The sequence below is a fragment of the Homo sapiens genome, chromosome 15 (assembly GCF_000001405.40).
Source record: "Homo sapiens chromosome 15, GRCh38.p14 Primary Assembly".
In the NCBI taxonomy this organism is placed as follows: domain Eukaryota; kingdom Metazoa; phylum Chordata; class Mammalia; order Primates; family Hominidae; genus Homo; species Homo sapiens.
In genome coordinates, this window is record NC_000015.10 from 58,642,756 (window position 1) to 58,664,164 (window position 21,409).

The following is a 21,409-nucleotide window of genomic DNA, read 5'->3' on the forward strand; positions in this document are numbered from 1 at the left end:
CAGCAACACTTATACCTCTTATCACTGTTACTTGCTCATTTAAGGATTTATATTGTTCACAGAATACATGAAAGCAATTAATTATGAACAATTCTTATACTGTAAATCAATAAATCATATTTCACCTTAAGAAAATCCAATTTAAGATTTAATCACACTGCTTCTAAATTTAAGGACTACCTACAGCTATGTGGCTGAATGTATATACTAAACTTCTCTAGTATAGACATTTTATCCAACCACATTTGAAGAAAAATAGGAAAGCATAAATATTAAGGAACCCTGTGGCAAATACTTTTGTGAAAGGATGATTTTTTTTTAAGTTCGGTTGTTTATTTAGCATATAAATACTGTTTCTTTAAAAGCTATACATATATATTTAGAATATTCAGAAATCTTTTGAAAAAATAGCCTAAATTTGTCAGTAATTTAATATTTATTTATTTACCTGTAATTTATAACATTAGAACTCATACTACGTGACCCTATGGCTCCGGATCAGCTTTTCTCAAAATGCCTAAAGTATTTTGGAATCTGTTGATGTTAATATATTTTTTCTAAAAAAAAAGTTTCATGGTCAAAAATTTAGAAAAATATGGGTTTCTTTCCTGAAAGACTTCTCAAAACTTGATATATGTTACTGTGAGTTGTGAATTTTCAAGAAGATTATAGTACTAAGGGTTTTTCCAACTTCCAATTTTATTTAAACACTGTATTTATCCTTTTTCTCCCCTGGAACACCAAATGGAACATACAGTGAAAAACACTGCACAAAGCAAATTTTAGGAAACTGAGGGATAATTGGGGAAAAGTCAAGCACTATAGCCATAGTTATTGAAGGGTCAGAGCTTTCTTAATAATATGTTAATCAGACAGACTGAATACACACTTTACCTCTACTGTAGACTGGATTAAGACCTTATACATTTAATTCTTAAATCATAAACCCAAGTATCTGTGTGTGTGTGGGTGTGTAAATGCCAGGAGTAAAAAACTGCATCAACAGATACAATTAAACTAAACTACTTAATTCATAAAGATAAAATTAAAAGCAAGCTTTTGTGTGTGTGTGTAAACATAGTCTGGACTGTTTCACTTTTTAAGTGTTTTTAACTATTTAAGTTCCTTACTCTTATGCGTTTCACCATGAAACTGATGTTACGGATTCCGGAGAAGTCTGTGGTCTGGTAAATTGTATCAATCGCTTTAACATGACTGGATATCTATGATTTAAAAAAAAGAACATTTTAGAGGCAATGTTGAAATATGAAAAAGATTATAAATTTCCATTTCCAAAATCAGTAATTATTCATGTCCTGCCACATTCAAATTTTAAAATGTCAACATTATATACTGGACATAAATATAAAAAAGATTAGTGAGCTGCGCTGGGAAGGGAGATTCTACTTTCTTTTCCAGACTCCTCTGGCCAACAATAAACATGCATACTTCTTTGCGGTTTTTTTTTTTCTTTTTTTGTTTTTTTTTTTGGAGACAAGAGTCTTGCTCTGTTGCCCACGCTGGAGTGCAGTGTTGCAATCTCGGCTCACTGCAACCTCTGCCTCCCAGATTCAAGTGATTCTCCTGCCTCAGCCTCCCAAACAACTGGGATTACAGGCGCCTACCACCATGCCCAGCTAATTTTTGTATTTTTAGTAAAGACAGGTTTCACTATCTTGGCCAGGCTCGTCTCGAACTCCTGACCTCAAGTGACCCACCCACCTGGGCCTCCCAAAGTGCTGGCATTACAGGCATGAGCCACCACAACTGGCCTAAACATATACTCTTGTTTCAGTCACATAAAAATTTTGTTTCCTCAATCCAATCCTACAACGTCACACGTCCATTCCTTTTCACATATTTCCTATGCGTAGAGTATCCTTCTCTATTTATCCTTCAGACTCAGCTCAAACATTTTTATAAGAACTTCCCTGATGGCTCAGGACACACAGTCATTCCCTGACTTTAATCCTTCTATTGCTGCACATTCTGTAAACTTTGTTGACCCCTTTCTATATTCTTGGCACTGTTTTAGGCACTGGGGATATAGTGGTGAACAAAATACAGAAGGTCCCTATAAATTTACAGAGGCTTACTTTAGTAGCGGAAGAAAGGAGGGAGATAATACAAATATAATAAACATACATTCAGATTTTGCTAAATTCTACAAGGAGATAAACGATGATAAACCCAAAAGTATCCGTTTACCTAGCTGACCCCCAACTAAACTTTCTGACTTCTAAACCACTCTGTAAACAACCTTCCCAACTTCATTTACAAAAAGTACTCTTGCTACCATTTATGTGAAAACATGTATGTATAGTCTCAAAGTTATTTTCAAAGAAATTGTAAAAACATAAACATAAAACATAAAACAAGATGGTCAAGTAAAAGCATTAACAATAATCATTTCAAAGGTAGCCCACGCTGCCAAACACTGCTAATGAAATTCCTAACTGCTCATAGGGCTCATTATAAAATTCACGCTATTTTGTCTTGAAATTTATTTGTTCCTTGGTAAATCCTACAAAATCTCCTACCTTATTACTATTATGTTTTCCTCACTAGCTTCTCTTCCTCAACCTATTCACCATATACAGATAGCTCCAATTTCTTCTCCTTTGGTTTCATTCTTTCCACATTCAATCTCTCAAGGCTACCCTTCCCTCAAGCTCTAGTTTCACATTTTCAAAATCCTAAGGGAAGAACTACCTAGCTTTTATACATGTTTAAAAGGAAGTTCATCCTCACCACCAAAATGATTCATTTATACTAGTCGTACCTCCATCTTCTCCATTTCAAATCCTTTGAGTCAAAAGTTCATTCATCAAATTCTCACTGGGTACCTTCCACACGAAGGACATTTTGAAGGGCACCCTCAAAATATTTATACTTTAATGAGGGTTGAGAAGACACAAGTACAAATAATAATGTAACTTAGAAAGTGCTACATACAATAAAAATACAGAAAAAAAATTAAATACTTCCAGTTGGAAGGATTCCTCCAACTTTCCCTCCTTTAAGACCACAAATGAAAATTCAACTCTCTTTCCAAAGCTAAACTTCAGTGTCATCATCTCCTTCAGGAAATCATTGTCTTACCCCTCTCTTTTGACACTAAAATATCCCAACTGGTCTTTCAGTTATCCATGTACTTATCTTACACATTTTATCACATCACAACTGAAAACACATACTTTTTCCCAAAAAGAGAATACACTAACTTAAATTTTTAAAGGAAAGAATAGGCATTATAAAACAATATGGGAACTACTAAAATAGCGCATAATCATAAATACCTGGGCAATCACAGCTTCTCGTGTTCCGTAATATTTAAAGAACAAATGATCAGTCTGAATATAAAGCTGACAAGTATTTTTTTCAGCTGAAGTTGTACGTTTTTTCCTCAGAAGTTCTGGACCATTAGCAGCATGTTCTTCTTGAGGTATCTATACATCAAAAAGTCATTTCTGACAATTAGTATGCTTCAATACTATCATTTTATCTAATTAAGAATACATACTATAAACAATTTCATATTCTGCTTTATATAACACCATAGGTATTTCTGCTGCCATTAAAAGTTCATAAAATCACTTTGTCTCATAATCTTCTCCATATAGATTATTTACTATCTATTCAAGGAACTCCTTCACTTTTAAACATTTTCAAAACATGTATTTTAATATGTATTCATTTAAATCTAAAGCAAGTTGTATAATAGCTTATACTACTTTGATATCTTCTCTACCTCACATCTAATACCCATCTACCATCCAGTTCTGTCAAATTTATCTCCTAAATACCTAAGGTATCTACCCATTATCTCTGGCTCCACCACTCTAGCCCAAGCTACCATTACTTGTTACCTAGAGTACTGCAGTAAGATCAGTTTAATCAACCAATAGCCACTAATGGCCTTACATCTCTTCTCCATATTGCAATGTTTTCAAAACGCAAATTTGAATATGTCATCCACCTCAATAATGTATTTCAATGACTTCCTATTGCTCTAAAAGATTAAGCCCAATATTCTTTATATGCTCCCCTAAATATCAACATTACACAGCCTCTACTTAACTATCCAGCTTTTCTCATTCCACATTACTTCACAAAGAGACCCTACATTAGCCAACTCTAGCTGTCTGTGGTACAGCTATATAAGCTTTCTTTCCAATCCTCCACACACAGTCTATCTCCTGCCAGTCTTTGCACATGCTGACACTACCTCTTCTGATCTTGTTAATGGCTTCCTTCTTTCCTTAGACTTCGAGAAGGTCAATTCATCCATTATACCACTCCATAGAATCATACACCAATGTCTCTTACATAGTGCAACCTTACATTTATTTGTGGGATTATTTAATTTCTGTCCACATCCCACTTCACCCACTAGAATGTAAGTTCTGGAAAGAAGAAATTATCTCTGTTTGATCCTCACTGTAATGCTATCACCTAACACAGGCTTGGCAGCAAAGAGTAGACACTAAGTATTTTTTTTTTTTTTTTTTTTTTTTTTTTTTGAGACAGAGTCTCACTCTGTTGCCCAGGATGGAGTGCAGTGGCACGATCTTGGCTCCCAGCAAGCTCCGCCTCCCGGGTTCACGCCATTCTCCTGCCTCAGCCTCCGGCATAGCTGGGACTACCGGCGCCTGCCACCACACCTGGCTAATTTTGTTTCTGAATTTTTAGTAGAGACAGGTTTTCACCATGTTAGCCAAGATGGTCTCGATCTCCTGACCTCGTGATCCGCCCGCCTCGGCCTCCCAAAGTGCTAGGATTACAGAGCCACCACCCCCGCCAAGTATTTCTTTTGAGAGTCTCACTCTGTTACCCAGGCTGGAGTGCAGTGGCATGATCACAGCTCAATGCAGCCTTAAACTCCTGGGCTCAAACAATCCTCCCGCCTAAGCTTCCCAAGTAGCTGGGGGACTACAAGCATGTATCACCATGCCTGGCTAATTTTTTAATTTTTTTGTAGAGACGGAGGTCTTCCTATGTTGCCCAGGCTGGTCATGAGCTCCTGGTCTCAAGTAATCCTCCTGTCTCAGCTTCCCGAAGTACTGGGATTACAGGCAGGAGCCACTGTGCCTGGCCTCAATTAAGTATTTCTTCAAAGAATTACCACTGCTATTGAATCCAGTCAAACATTTGTGAACACCTAAAAGGATCATCTTAAGTATTTTTGATGGCACAGTAATATAGAACCCAAATTGAATTTTAAGTCACAATTTCTTCTTCCTTGACATTTCCTTCTCCCTTAATAATTCCATGTGAACATACACAAAATGAAAAATTTGTATTATATGCCAAACACACAAAAAAGGGTAACTATGTGAAATGATGGAAATGTTTATTTGCTTCACTATAGTAACCATTTTGACTATCTATATGTGTCCCATAACATCATGTAATATACCTGATATATACACAATAAAACTTATTTTTAAAACAATTTGTATTATAGATGGGTACCAACACTACTGAAACAGTGTAACATTTGGGGGAACTGTCCCCAAAGCCTACCTTGAATACTGTTCCACTCAGGATTTTGATTTAGATGGTCTCCAGGTCTCAGTTTACACAGTTTGTAAATGACTCAAACATTGAGAAGTATTTCAAATCCATGTTATTTGTGAAATGCAGTTTATATTTACAATCATGTTATTCCACACAAAAAGGAATTTATCTTAGCTAATGGTGAAGTTTTATGTGTGAAAGATTTTCTACTCCAGACCAAAGGAAAAAAAACTGGATGCTTTAATGTGAAAATTCTATTTAAAGAAAGGTTTTAAATAAGAAAACAGTCTGAAATATGAAAAAGTGTTCCAAGCAGAAAAAAATAACATAAAGGTGTTCAAGTTTATTATATCAAGTAGTTCAGCTCTCCCATATCTTCACTGGGTTTTATTTTTTGTACAACTGTTCTCTTATTTATCATATGATTTTTCTATTATTCCTTCCGGTTTTGTCAACTTTTGCCTTACATATTCTGAAGTTATAATATTACGGACATACAAATTAAAGGCTGCTATAACATAATGGAGAACTAAACTTTTTATCATTATGACATATCTATTTTAGTAATGCTTTTTTTTTGCCTTAAAATCTACTTTGGCTGATAATAGACATATTTTTGTTAGAGTCATCAAAGTTTACATCTTGTGCTGTTTTACTTTCCATCTTTTCTGCATCCTTATATTTTAGGAGCAGTTTTTGTAAAACAGTTTGTGGGGTTTTGTTGCTGTTAAATCCAATCTGATAATATTTATCTTTTAATCGGTGCATTTAATCCATTTACCTTTAATATAATTACAGATATTTTGGGGTTTAAATCTCCAATTTTATTATCTTCTATTTGTCCTGCCTGTTCAATAGTCTTCTTTAACTTCTTTCTTGCCTTGTTTTGGATTTTGAATTTTTATTCTATCCCTTCCCCCATTAGCTTGTTAGTTATATATTTTACTAATACTTGACTTACCAAAATCAAATATAAATTATAACATTTACTTGTTCCTAGAAAAGAACCTCAGAACACTTAAATTACATTTTTCTCACTCCAATTTTAACTCCCTCTATATCCACATACACAACATACAAATATATACCACCCTACAAGTCTTTACTATTAGTGCTTTGTAGTATACAGTCAATACTCAAAATTATCTAATGTGTTCTTTATTCAATACTTCATCTACAAGTTAGCATTTGAGCCCGCAATCTTTTCAACAGGAAAAAAACTACTTTTAGCGTGTCAGATGGTTATATATTCCATTTGAAATGTGTTAATTTTACTTTGATCTATTCTTCTGAGTAGAGCATCCTAGAGGATGGCAGTTTCTCTGTTTCAGCATATCCTACTGTCTTCTGTCTTTTTAACTGCTTCCAATGAGAAATGAGCTGCCATGTTTACTGTTGCTTAAGAGTGATTAAACTTTTTCTCACCGGCTGCTTTTAAGATTATATCTTTGGCTTTCGGACTTCTCAAATAATGTGCTATGGTATTGTTTTCAGTGTAAAGCATTTATCCTGCCCTAATTACAGGGCTTAATGAATGTGTTGTTTGATATCTCTCTGTTACATTGGAAAAATTCTCAGCCATTACCTGTCCTTGACTCTCCATTTTCCTCCTTCTAGGACATCAATTACATAATACATATATCAGACCTTCTGAAGGTATCATCTATTTCTCTTATGCTCTTTTCTGTATTTTCCATCCTTTTCTTAGCAGTTTGCTCTATTTTCTTATACTATCCAAATCTAAATCCATCAAATTCCTAATTTTTGTTGTTAACATTTGTCAATTCTAAATTTCCCATCAAGTTCTTTTGTTAATTTTCAATTTTCTGCTAAAATTTTAAATTTAGTCTTTATGACTTGAATATATTAAAGTCTGTGTCAGATAATTTTCTTATCCAGGTACCATTTCCTTTGTCAGTTGACTCTCTTGTTCTTCCATCATGTTGTTTTGTTTGTTCATATACTGGTTACATTGAACTGAGTGCCAGGCTATGTATATGGATAACCACAGATTTGATGTGAAGTTGTGATTGACACCTTTCTCAAAAGATTTACTTTCACTTCTGGTAAGCAGAGTTAGGCTTGGTGCACTAGTAATCCTGGATCACCTTAATCCAGTTAGGGACTGAGATGTGGTGTGAAACTTTAATCCCTGTGAAGAGAGACTGAACATTTTATAATTTATACCCTTATTCTTAGGGAGTAGTCCTTCAAGGTCCCAACCAAAAGCTCTTCTGGGCAGATCCTAAACAATATTTTCATCCTCAGCCTCATGTGTCTGCACAGTTCTACTCTCCCTCTCAGTCTCTCAGCCACCTCCTCAGAAACTCAAAGACACACCTGGAGAAAAGGTAGAACCAAATACCAGTATCACCATTCTAGCTGTATACTTTTTTCTGAAATCTTGGCCGCGTACTACTTCACAGTCATGTTATCTTTCCAATGCCTTCAAATAAATACACACAAATATACAAAACACGTATATGGAAATATACATACACATATATTTTTAAAATATTTTTATTTTCAGGCCAGGTTGCTATATATTAGTTGTACTAATCAGTTGTTCTCTACTTCTTAAAAACAATTCTTTATTAATTTTATACATTGTGAAAGCATAAAATTTTATACAAAGTTTATAACTTGTCTTCACTTTAAGGTGTCTTTTATTTTTAATATTCATATAGTGAAATATATTCATCTTTTTTATACTGAAAAGTCTTACATATTCAAACCATTTCTCCAGATCAAAATCCAAAATATTTTATAATATCTTTTGTGAAGTGTCTTTTCAAATGTTTTGCCCATTATCTATTAAATTTTTTTATTTTTTGTTTTTAAATTTTGTGAATACATAGGTATATATATTTATGGGGTACATAAGATATATAATACTTTGATAGGAATGCAATGTGTAAATCACATCATGTTAAATGGGGCATCCATCCCCTCAAGCATTTATCCTTTTTGTTACAAAAAATACAATTACACTCTTTTAGTTATTTTAAAATGTACAATTTAATTATTATTGACTATAGTTGCCCTGCTGTGCTTTCAAATACTAGGTCTTATTCATTCTTTCTAACATGTTTTTGTGCCCGTTAACCATCCCCACTTCCCCCACCACTGCTCTAATACTCATTGCACCCTCTGGTAACCATCCTTCTACTCTCTATCTCCATGAGTTAAATTGTTTTAATTTTTAGCTCCTACAAATAAGTGAGAATATGTGAAGTTTGTCTTTCTGTGCCTAGCTTATTGCACTTAACATAATGACCTCCAGTTCCATCCATGTTGTCGCAAATTACAGAATCTAATTCTGTTTTATGGCTAAATAGTATTCCATTGTGAATATGTACCACATTTTCTTTATCCATTCATCTATTAACAGACACTTAGGCTGCTTCCAAATCTTGGCTATTGTGAACAGTGCAGCAACAAACATGGGAGTGCAGCTATCTCTATGATGTATCTCTTCGGGTAGATGTGCAGCAGTGGGACTGCTGGATTATGGTAGTTCTATTTGTAGTTTTTTGAGGAACCTCCGAACTATTCTCCATAGCAATTGTACTAATTTGCATTCCCACCAACAGTGTGTGGCGGTTTCCTTTTCCCCACATCCTCACCAGCGTTTGTTATTGCCTGTCTTTTGGATAAAAGCCATTTTTACTGAGGTGAGACGGTATCTCACTGTAATTTTTATTTGCATTTCTCCAAGGATCAATGATGTTGAGCACCTTTTCATATGCCTGTTTGCCATTTGTATGTCTTCTTTTAGGAAATGTCTATTCAGATCTTTTGCCCATTTTTTAATCAGATTAGATTTTTTTCTATAGAGTTATTTCAGCTCCTTATATATTCTGGTTATTAATCCCTTGTCAGACAAGTAGTGTGCAAATATTTTCTCCCATTCTATGGGTTGTCTCCCCACTTTGTTAATCGTATCCTTTGCTGAGCCGCAGCTTTTAACTTGATGTGATCCCATTTGTCCATTTTTGCTTTGGTTGCCTGTGCTTATGGGGTTTTACTCAAGAAATTTTTGTCCACATGAAAGTGGGGAGTTTCTTCAACGTTTTCTTGCAGCAGTCTCACAGTGGAGCACTTAAATTTAAGTCTTAATTCATTTTGATTTGATTTTTGTATACGGTGAGAAATAGAGGTCTAGTTTCATTCCTCTGCATACGGATATCCAGTTTTCCCAGCACCATTTATTGAAGAGATTGTCTTTACCCCAATGGATGTTTTTGGCACCATTGTAAAAAATGCACTGTAGGTGTATCAATTTGTTTCTGAGGTCTCTATTCTGTTCCATGGGTCTACGTGTCTGTTTTCATGCCAGTACCATGTTGTTTGGTTACTATAGCGCTACAGTATAATCTGAAGTCAGGTAATATGATTCCTCCAATTTTGTTCTTTTTCCTCAGGATAGCATTGGTTATTCTGAGTTTCTTCTGGTTCCATAAAACATTTCAAATGGCTTTTTCTATTTCTGTGAAGAATGACAATGGCATTTTGGTAGCAATTGCATTGCCTTTTGTAATTATGGACATTTTAACAACACTGATTCTTCCGATATACGAACATAGAATATCTTTCCATTTTTTTCTGTCTTCTTCGATTTCTTTCACAGTGTTTTATACTTTTCATTGTAGAGATCTTTTACTTCTTTGGTTAATTCCTAGGTATGTAATTTTATTTGTGGCTACTGCAAATGGGATTGCTTCTCTTTTTCAGACTGTTTGTTGCTGGAAACAACAGTAGAAATGCTACTGATTTTTGTACGTTGATTTTGTATCCTGCAACTTTACTGTATTTGTTTATCAGTTCTAATAGTTTTTTGGTGGAGTCTATGGGTTTTTCCAAATATAAGATTATATCATCTGCAAACAAGGATATTTTGACTTCTTTGTTTCCAATTTGGGTGCACTTTATTTCTCTCACTTCTCTGATTGCTCTAGCTAGGACCTCCAGTACTATGTTGAGTAACAGTGCTGAAAGAAGGCATCCTTCTTGTGTTCCCAATCTTAGAAAAAAGGCTTTCAGGTTTTGCCCATTCAGTATGATACTAGCTATGGATTCACTGTACATTACTTTTATTATGTTGAGATACGTACCTTCTATACGCAATTTTTTGAGCATTTTTATCAGGAAAGGATTTTGAATTTTATCAACTGCTTTTTCAGCATCAATTGAAATTATCGTATAAGTTTTGTCCTTCATTCCATTATGATGTATCACACTGACTGATTTGCATACGTTGAACCATTCTTGCATCCCTGGGATAAATACCACTTAGTCATGATGAATGATCTTTTTAATGAATTGCTAAATTCAGTTTGCTAGTATTTTGTTGATAATTTTTCTACCAATATGCATGAGACATAATGGCCTGTCATTTTCTTTTTTTGCTGCCTTTATCTGCTTTTGGTATCAGAGTAATACTGGCCTCCTAGAATGAGTTTGAAGTTTTCCCTCCTCCTCTATTTTTTGGAATAGTTTCAGTACAATTGGTATTAGTTATATTGTAAATATTTGGTAGAATTCAACAGTGAAGCCACTGGGTCCCAGACTTTTCTTTACTGGAAGACTTTTTATTACAGCTTCAATTTCATTACTTGTTATTGGTCTGTTCAGGTTTTGAACATCATGGTTCAATCTTGGTAGGTTGTATGTGTCTAAGAATGTATCCATTTTCTCTACATTTTGCAATTTATTGGCATATAGTTGCTCAAAGTACCCACTAATGATCCTTTGAATTTCATCTATACCACTTGTGATGTCTCCTTTTTCATCTCTGATTTTATTTATTTAGGTCTTTTTTTTTTCTTAGTCTGGCTAAAGGTTTGTCAATTTTGTTTACGATTTCAAAAAACAACTTTTTGTTTCTTTGATCTTTTATACTGTCTTCATTTCTATTTCATTTACTTCTGCTCTTATCTTTATTATTATTTCTTTTCTTCTACTAATTTCGGGTTTGGTTTGCTCTTGCAAAATGCATTGTTAGTGCATTTATTTGAAGTTTTCTTTCTGGATGCAGGCATTTATAGCTATATAAACTTTCCTCTTAGTACTGCTTTTACTGTATCCTACGCGTTGTGTTATGTTGTGTTTTCTTTGTTTTTGAGACAGCGTCTCCTTCTGTTGCCCAGGCTGCAGTAAAGTGGCACAATCTTTCTCACCACAACCTCCTCCTCCTGGGTTCAAGCAATCCTCCTGCCTCAGCCTCCCAAGGACCTGGGACTACAGGCATGCACCACCACACCTGGCTAATTTTTAAACTGTTTGCAAAGAAAAGGTCTTACTATAGACCCCAGGCTGGTCTCAAACTCCTGGGCTCAAATGATCATTCCACATCAGCTTCCTAAAGTGCTGGAATTACAGACATGAGCCACCACTCCTAGCCAGTAAGTTGTGTTTCCATTATCGTTTGTTTCAAGAAATTTTCCAATTTTCTTTTTAATTTTTTCACTCACCTATCGGTCATTCAGGAGCATATTGTTTACTTTCCATGTGATTGTATAGTTTCAAAGACTCCTTTTGTTATTGATTTCTAGTTTTATTCAAGTGTAGTCAGAGAAGATACCTGATATTATTTCAATTTTTTGAATGTTTGAAGACTTGTTTTACAACCAAACATATGGTCTATTCTTGAGAATGATCCAGGTGCTGAGGAGAAAAAAATGTGTATTCTGCAGCCATTGGAAGAAATGGTCTATAAATACCTGTTAGGTCCATTTGTTCTATACTGCAGATTAAGTCTGATGTTTCTTTGTTGATTTTCTGTCTGGAAGGTCTATCCATTGCTGAAAGTGGGGTATTGAAGTCTCCAGCTATTACTGTATTGAAGTCTATCTCTCTCTCTTTAGCTCTAATAATATTTGCTTTATATATCTGGGTGTTCCAGTGTTGGGTGCATATACGTATTAGGCCATTTTTGCGTTGTTATAAAGAAATAACTGAGACTGAGTAATTTATCAAGAAAAGAGTTTTAATTGGCTCATCGTTCTGCAGGCTTTACAGGAAGCATGGTGCTGGCATCCGCTTGGCTTCTAGAGAGGTCTCAGGAAGCTTATAAGCATGGGCAGAAGGTGAAGGGGGAGCAGGCACATGACATGCTGGAAGCAGGAGCAAGCAAGAGTGTCTGTGGGGGAAGATGCCACACACTTCTAAACCACCAAATCTCATGAGAACTCACTATCACAAAAACAGCACCAAGCCATGGGGGATCTGCCCCCATGATCCAAACAACTCCCACCAGGTCCCACCTCCAGCACTGAGGATTACAATTCAACAGAAGGTTTGGGCTGAGACAAATATCCAAACTATATTAATATATATTTACAGTTGTTAAATCCTCTTGCTGAACTGATCCCTTTGCATACATACATACATACATACATACATATATATATTATATATAGTATATATATATATAGTATATATATATATATATATATATATATATTCTTTTTTTTTTTTTTTTTTTTTTGAAACAGAGTCTTGCTCTGTCACCCAGACTGGAGTGCAGTGGCCGGATCTCAGCTCACTGCAACCTCCACCTCCTGGGTTCAAGTGATTCTCCTGCCTCAGCCTCCTGAGTAGCTGGGATTACAGATGCCCACCACCACACCCAGCTAATTTTTCTATTTTTAATAGAGACAGGATTTCGCCATGTTGGCCAGGCTGGTCTTAAACTCCTGGCCTCAGGTGATCCACCCACCTCAGCCTCCCAAACTGCTGAGATTACAGGCGTGAGCTGCCAGGCCCAGCCCCCTTTATAATTATATAGTGACTATCTTTGTCTCTTACAGTTTTTGTCCTGAAATCTATTTTGACTGATACAAGTATAGCTACTCCTGCTCTTCTGGTTTCCGCTGGGATGGAATATCTTTTTCCACCATTTTATTTTCAGTCTATGTGTATCTTTACAGGTAAAATGTGTTTCTTGTATGCAATAGATCATTGGATCTTCGGGGTTTTTTAATCCATTTAGCTACTCTATGTCTTTTGATTAGAGACTTTGGTCCACTGACATTCAATGTTATTACTGATAAGTAAGGACTTACTCCTGCCACTTTGTTTTTTTGTTTTCTGGTTGTTTTGCGGCCTTCTCTTCCTTCTTTCCTTCCTGACTTCCCTCTAGTGAAGCTGATTTTCTCCGGTGGTATGATTTAATTTCTTGCTTTTTATTTTTTGTGTATCTATCATATGTTTTTTGATTTGAAGTTACCATGAGGCTTGCAAATACTACCTTACAATCCTTATTTTAAACTGATGACAACAGTGATTGCATAATTATAGAAGCAAAAAGAAGACTAATAAAAACTTTACACTTTAACTTTGTCCCCCTGCTTTTTAACTTTGTTTCTATTCATGCCTTATTGTAGTGTCTATATCCTGAAGAGTTATTTTTTATCAGTTCATCATTTAGTCTTTCTACTCAAGATATGAGTAATTTATATACCATAATCACAGATACACAATATTCTGTGTACTTATTATTACCAATGAGTTTTGTACCATCATATAATTTCTTATTGCTCATTCACATCCTTTTCTTTCTGACTGAAGAACTCTATTTAGCACTTCTTGTAGGACAAGTCTGGTGTTGATGAAATCCATCTGTTTTTGTTTCTCTGGGAAAGTTTTTATTTCTCCTTCGTGTTTGAAGGCTATTTCCCTGAATATACTGCTATAGGATAAAAAATTTTTTCCTTCAGCACTTTAAACATGTCATGCCACTCTCTCCTGGCCTGTAAAATTTCTATTGAAAAGTCTTCTGCCAAATTTATCAGAGCTCCATTGTAGGTTATTTGTTTCTTTTTTCTTGCTGCTTTTAGGATCTTTTCTTTATGGCCTTTGCTGGTTTGATTATTAAATGCCTTGAGTTAGTCTTCATTGGGTTAAATACGCTTGGTGCTTCATAACCTTCTTACACTTGAATGTTGATATCTTTTTCTAGGTTTGAGAAGTTCTCTGGTATTATCACTTTGAATAAACTTTTTACCCCTATCTCTTTCTCTACCTCCTCTTTAAGGACATAATTCTTATGTTTGCCCTTTTGAGGCTATTTCCTAGATATTATAGGTGTTCTTCATTCTTTTAGAGTATTCCTTTTCTGTCTCCTCTGACTTTACATTTTCAAATAGCCTGTCTTCAAGCTCACTAATTCTTCTGTTTTATCAATTCTGTTACTAAGAGACTCTGATGCACTCTTCAGTATGTCAAGTGCATTTTTCAACTCTAGAATTTCTGCTTGATTCTTTTTAATTATTTCAATGTTTTTTAAATTTATCTGATAGTATTCCGAATTCCTTCTCTGTGTTATCATGAATTTCTTTGAGTTTCCTCAAAACAGCTATTTTTAATTCTCTATCTGAAAGGTCACCTATCTCTGGATCCATTCTCCAGGATTTGTCCCCAGTGCCTTATTTAGTTTCTTTGGTGAAGTCATGTTTTCCTGGATGGTCTGGACGCTTGTGGATGTTGGTTCACGTCTGGGCATTGAAGAGTTACGTATTCACTGTAGTCCTCACAGTCTGGGCTTATTTGTGCCTGTCCTTCTTGGAAAGGCTTTCCAGGTGCACTGTCCATTTTTTAATTGGGGTTTGTGTTTTTTTTTTTTTCTTAACTGAGTTATAACAGTTCTTTACTATTCTGGAAAAAAGCCTTTTATCAGAGACATTGTGGACATTTTCTCAGTCTGTGGCTTGTTTTCCTATTTTTCTTAACTATGTTTTTTGAGGCAAGGTTTTTCAATTTGATGAAGTCAGTTTATACATGTTTTTCATAGGGAATTTTTGTGCCTTGAGAAATTGTTATCACAAGTCACAAAAATTTCTCCTATGTTTTTTCCTAGTTTTAGTTTTAGCTTTGGCATATAGGTCCATTTTCCATTTTGAGTTAATTTTTGTATAAGGTGTGAAGTACAGGTGAATCTCAATTTTTTTTTCATATGGATATCCAATTGTTCCAGTACCATTTGTTGAAAAGACTGTTCTTTCCTCTTTTAAATTACCTTGGGACTTTTGCAAAAATCAACTGACCATGTGGACTCTCTATGTTGCTACATTTACCTACATGTTTACCCTTAGGTCAAGATGACACTATCTTGATTACTGTAACTTTATACTAAGTCTTAAAAACCAAATACTATTAAATCTTCCATCCTTGTTCTTTTTTGAAAATTGTTTTGTCTATTCTAGATCTTTTACCTTTCAGTATAACTTTTAGAATCAGTTTGTCAACTACTAGATAAATGTCCACTGGAAGTCTTGATACTGACTGCACTGAATCTGCAGAACAATTTGGGGAGAACTGACATATTAACATTGAGGATTCCAACCACAAACAAAGTTTATTTCTCAATTTATTTAATCTTTAATTTTTCTTGGCAATGTTTTCTAGTTCTTCATGTACACATCTTGCACATATTTTGTTAAATTTATTCTACATATTTTATATTTTGATGCTATTTTAATTTTTTTCATTTTCTAAATATTCATTGCCAGTATATAGAATACGACTGATTATACCAACTTTTAGCCTATGTCCTTGATAAGTCTGCTTATTGATTCTAGTAACTTTTTCTAGGTATACTCTTGTATTACCTTTAACTACTTCCTTTATAATCTGTATGCCTTTCATTTATTTTTCTTGCCTTATTATGGTGGCTAGGACTTTGTGTATAATGCTGAGTAGAAGTTTTTATTCCTTGGCTGGGCGCAGTGGGCTCACACCTGTAATCTCGGCACTTTGGGAAGCCGAAGCAGGCAGATCATGAGTTCAAAAGTTCAAGACCAGCCTGACCAACATGGTGAAACCCCATCTTTACTAAAAATACAAAAATTAGGTGGGCGTGGTGGTGCGCACCTGTAATCCCAGCTACTCAGGAAGCTGAGGCAGGAGAATCACTTGAACCCGGGAGGTGGAGGTTGCAGTGGGCCGAGATCACACCACTGCACTCCAGCCTGGGAGACAGAGCGAGAATCCGTCTCAAAAAAGAAAAAAAAAAAGCTTTTATTCCTGGTCTCAAAGGAAAAGGACTTAGTCTCTCACTTTTAAGCATGGTATCAGCTGTAGGTTTTTTATAAAAAGCTCTTACTAGCCTAAGAAAGCTTCCTTCTATTTTTAGTTTGCCATGTGTTGAGTGCTGAAATTTGGCAATGCTTTTTTACTAGTCTACTGAGATAATCAGAGGGGTTTCATCCTTTATTATGTTTATGTGGTGGATTACACAAATTTTCTAATGTTAATCAATTTTGCATTTCTGGTATAAACTTCATTTGAGCATAATGTGTTTTTTTATATATATTGCTGGATTTCACTTGCTAATATTTTAAGAAATTTTACTTTTATATTTCTGAGGAATATTGCCCTGTAGCTTAGTTTTCTTGTAATGTCTCTGGTATGACTATCAAAGTAACACTGCCCTCATAAAATGTGTTATGAAGTTTTCTCTTTCTTTTTTTGAGACAGAGTCTCACTCTGTCGCCCAGGCTGGAGTGCAGTGGTGCAATCTCGGCTCACTGCAAGCTCCGCCTCCTGGATTCATGCCATTCTCCCGCCTCAGCCTCCCCAGTAGCTGGGACTACAGGCGTCCGCCACCACACCCAGCTAACTTTGGTTGTGGATTTTTAGTAGAGACAGGGTTTCACTGTGTTAGGAAGGTCTCGATCTCCTGATCTTGTGATCCGCCTGCCTCGGCCTCCCAAAGTGCTGGGATTACAGGTGTGAGCCAATACGCCTGGCCGTTCTCTCTTTATTTTCTTAAGGACTTTAAGACTGTCTTTAAGGATAAACTCTGAGAATATGGATCCATAAATTAATTCATAGCATAATTAACTAAACCCAATTTCTGTTCCATCATTTTATGACCCAAATCCAAAACAATTAGCTATTTTCTTTTCTTTTTTTTCTTTTTATTTTTTTTTAAATAGGGTCTCACTCTGCAGCCTGGGCTGGAGTACACTGGTGCAATCAATCATGGCTCACTGCAGTCTCAACCTTCTACATTCAAGTAATCCTCCTACTTCAGCATCCTGACAAGCTGGGCCTACAAGAGTGAACCATCTCACCTAGCTCTTTAAATGTTAAAACTGTGTCTTTTCATTTAAATTGCATTTCTTTTACGCTCATTTGGTCTTTTTTTTTTAATCACTCTAACCATCTCAGTTTCTTAATTAACGTGCTTAGTCCATTTATATTTTTTTAATTAAAAAAAATTGAGACAGGGTCTCGCTGTGTTGGCCAGGTTGGTCTTGAACTCTTGGCCTCAAGCAATCTTCACACCTCAGCAGTCCATTTATATTTAATGCAGTCATCAATATGGTTAGATTTAAACTTACCACCTTGCTATTTATTTTCTATTTATCCCATCAGTTTTTTGTTCCTTTTTCTCTTCTTCCTAACTTCTCTTAACTGTTTTTAAATACATTTGATTTATTTTATTAACATGTTAAATTATTTCCTCTTCTTTTTTCAATGGTTGCTCCAAGGGCAGAGGAAATTCCTGCAAACTTTTTCTGAAAAGGCCTAATAGTAAACATTTAGACTTTTGAACAACATGTAGTTGTTCTCTATCACAACTCTTCAATTCTGCCACTATAATGTAAAAGCAGCCATAGACAACCTATCAATGAATAGGTGTGGCTGTGTTCTAATAAAACTTTACTTACAAAAGCAAACATCTGGCCCACAGGCCGTAGTTTGCTGACCCCGGCTCTACGGTTTACAATATCCATCTTTATCACGGCACAGTTTACCTGTCAAAATTACATCACTTCACAAATTGTTTAAGAAACATACTTCTATTCTTCTTTCTCTTGTCCTTTGCACTACTGTCATAAATTTTGATTCTCTGTATATTACAAAATCCATTATACCTTATTATTTGGACTTAGGTAATAATCTCTTGAAGGTTTTTTTAAATGAGAAAAAACTGCTTAATATTTATCTATATAGTTACTATTTTATGTTCTTCACTCTTCTGTGTGTATCCGAGTTTCCATCTGGTATCTTTTTCTGCCTGAAGAACTTCCTTTAATGTTTCTTACAGTGTAGGTCACCTAGACACAAATTCTCTCAATTTTTATTTAAAAAGATCTTTAATTTGCCTTGTTTTTGAAAATTATTTTCACTGAATATAGAATCCTAGTTTGGCAGGTTTTCTGTCAACACTTTGAAGATGTTATTCTATGTCTTCCAGTTTGTACTGTGTAATGAGAAGTCACCAGTTATACTTATCTTTGTTCCCCTGTATGTAAATGTATCTCCTTTTCTCTGCCTGCTTTTATGGTTTTTTATGATTTTCAGGTGTTTCCAATAATTTAATTGTAACATACCCTGGTATGGTTTTCTTTGTGTTTATCCTGCACGTGTTTCATTGAGTTTCTTGGACCATGAATTGAAATTTTTCCTAGTATCTAAAAATTCGGAGGCATTAATTTTTAAATATTTTTTTCTGCATCTCTTCCTGCTGGACGTCAATTATTTTCCCTCTGTGCTTAGATATGGATACTGTCTATTTTATTTTCCTTTACTCAAGTATATTCATATTGAGTTCTGCAGTAATTAATTTTCTTTTAAGCCTATCCACTAAATTTTTTACCTCAGATAATATATTTTTCACCCTAGAAGTTCCATTTGGTTCTTTATTAGAATTTCCATTCTCTCCTTTTTGTGTTCATGTCTTTAATTCTTTGAACATACTAATAATAGTTGTTTTAAAGTCCTTGCCTGTTAACATCTGTAATTAACAGACGTTGTGTTTCTATTTAGGTGGCTTTTCTCCTTATTATGAATCACGTTTTTCAGTTTCTTGTCATCTAGTAATGTTCTTTGAATGCTGAACACTGAATGTTATACTGCTGAGTAACTGGACTTAGTGTCCTCCTTTAACAAATATTATTGAGCTTTTCTCTGACAGACAGCTAATTTATTTGAAAAGCAGTTTGACATTTTTGAGGTTTGTTTTTCTGCTTAGGAAGGGCAGGTCTGAAGTAGCTTCTACTCTAGGGCTAGGTTAGCCCTGCTACTACCACGGCTTGGGATATCTAATAAGTGTAATTTTTTTAGAGACAGGGTCTCGCGCTGCTGCCCGGGCTGGGGTGCCATGGCACAATCATGGATCACAGCAGCCTCAACCACCTGGGCTCAAGAAATCCTCTCGTCTCAGCCTCCAGAGTAGCTGAGACTACAGATGCTCATCACCACACCCAGCTAATTAAAAATAATAATAATTATTACTATTATGGAGATGAGATCTGGCTAGTTTGCCCAGGCTGGTCTCGCACTCCTGGCCTCAAGTGGTCCTGCTGCCTCAGCCTTCTAAAGTGCTGGGATTCACAGGCATGAACCACCACACCTGGCCCAAGTATTGTTTTTGACAGTTGTTCATTTCACAGAGTCCAGGTAGTTTTTCTTTGTCTCATGGTTTTCTCAAAGAATTTCATCCCGTGCAGGCAGGCACAGCTTAGTATTCAGCTAAGACTCAAGGAAAGCAACACCTGTGCAGATATCTGGAGCTTTTTCTCAACACAGCTCTCTCCTCTCAGGTATTGCGCCCGTAAGTCCAGACACCTCAGTCTTCCTGAACTCTTAATTCTAACTCTTCAACTCAGCAACACTGCTGTGTTTTTATCCTTCTTGAGATCTCCTTCTGTGTGTCATATCTGAAATTTCGACTCCAGCCAAGAAGGCAGGGAAATCACAGAGATATTTATTTCCTCACTCAGATATCAATCCTGCAATGCTTGTTTTCTAATGTTTGAAAATAATTGTTTGAAATATTTTGTTTGGTTTTCTAGTTGTTTGTTGTAGAAAGCCTAGTTAGATATCAGTTACTCTATCACAGCTTGAAAGGGAAATCTACAAGTTTCAAAGTTTTCATTTTAGACATTTAAAACTTCAATCCATCTAGACTTTTTTGTTGTAAATATGGACTTCATTTACAGCCTGGACTTTATTGTTGTAGGATGGTGATCCAACTTCATCTTTTTTCAAATAGATAAACATTTTTTTCTGGATCCATTTATTCAATGGTCCTCACTTTTCCTTACTAATTTGAGATTGCATCTCTACCACATAACAAAGTTTCATATACGCATGGGTCTTTTTCTAAGCACTCATTTTTATTCCGCTAGTTAATTTGTCCATCCTTGTGCTATCACACTCTCAATTATTATAGCAAGTCTTAATACCTCCTAGGGTAAATCCCTCTTTCCCTCTTTCCTGTTCATCGTCTTTAAATGGGCCCTACTTCTTCTTAGTCCTTACTTTTCCATATAACATTTTTGACCCATTGAGTGTTGTGAATAAGCCTGTTGTAATGTGTATTGGACTACCATTGAATCTACAAATCAATAAAGGGAGAACTGATAATTTTATAATATTATTATTTCCCATTAATATGGTATATCTCTCCATTCATTTAAAATCAATCTTCCTTAATATTTTTATAAAGTTTTGATTTTCCTTACATAGGTCTTATAATTCTTTGTTACATTTATTCTATAATATATAATATTCTCTGACATTATTAACAATGTCCACCCTTTCATTATATTTCTGGTAGTCTACTCGTGGTATAAATAAATGCAACCTACTTTTGTATATTAATATTTTATCAAGCACCATGCTAAATTCTATCATATCTAACAGTCTATAATCTCAACCCCTCTATCCAAATTGCCAATACATTAGTACAGGCCACTATCACTTCTCAACTGAATAACTACAACAACTTCTCATTAGTCTCCTAAAATCTACTCTTAAACTCTACCCTCATGTTAAAAATTCTTTACTGATCTTTCTGTCTCCTTGGCCTTTGTATGTACTGTTCCTCCTGCTTGGAATAGTCTTTCCATATCCTCATGGCTAACCTAACTCC

General features: G+C 35.2%; 1 protein-coding gene across 2 annotated transcripts in view; it reads right to left on the minus strand.

Moving 5' to 3' along the window:
- Nucleotides 1-21,409, minus strand: part of ADAM10 (ADAM metallopeptidase domain 10) — a 160,899-nt gene that overhangs the window by 53,947 nt on the left and 85,543 nt on the right. The window contains exons 6-7 of one of the 2 annotated variants that reach the window (NM_001110.4): nucleotides 3,300-3,449; nucleotides 1,131-1,223 (exon numbers count right to left, since the gene is read on the minus strand). In NM_001110.4, the coding sequence (NP_001101.1) occupies nucleotides 1,131-1,223; nucleotides 3,300-3,449 (243 nt within the window). The remainder of the gene's footprint in view (nucleotides 1-1,130; nucleotides 1,224-3,299; nucleotides 3,450-21,409) is intronic. The other variant, NM_001320570.2, reaches the window with a different exon arrangement.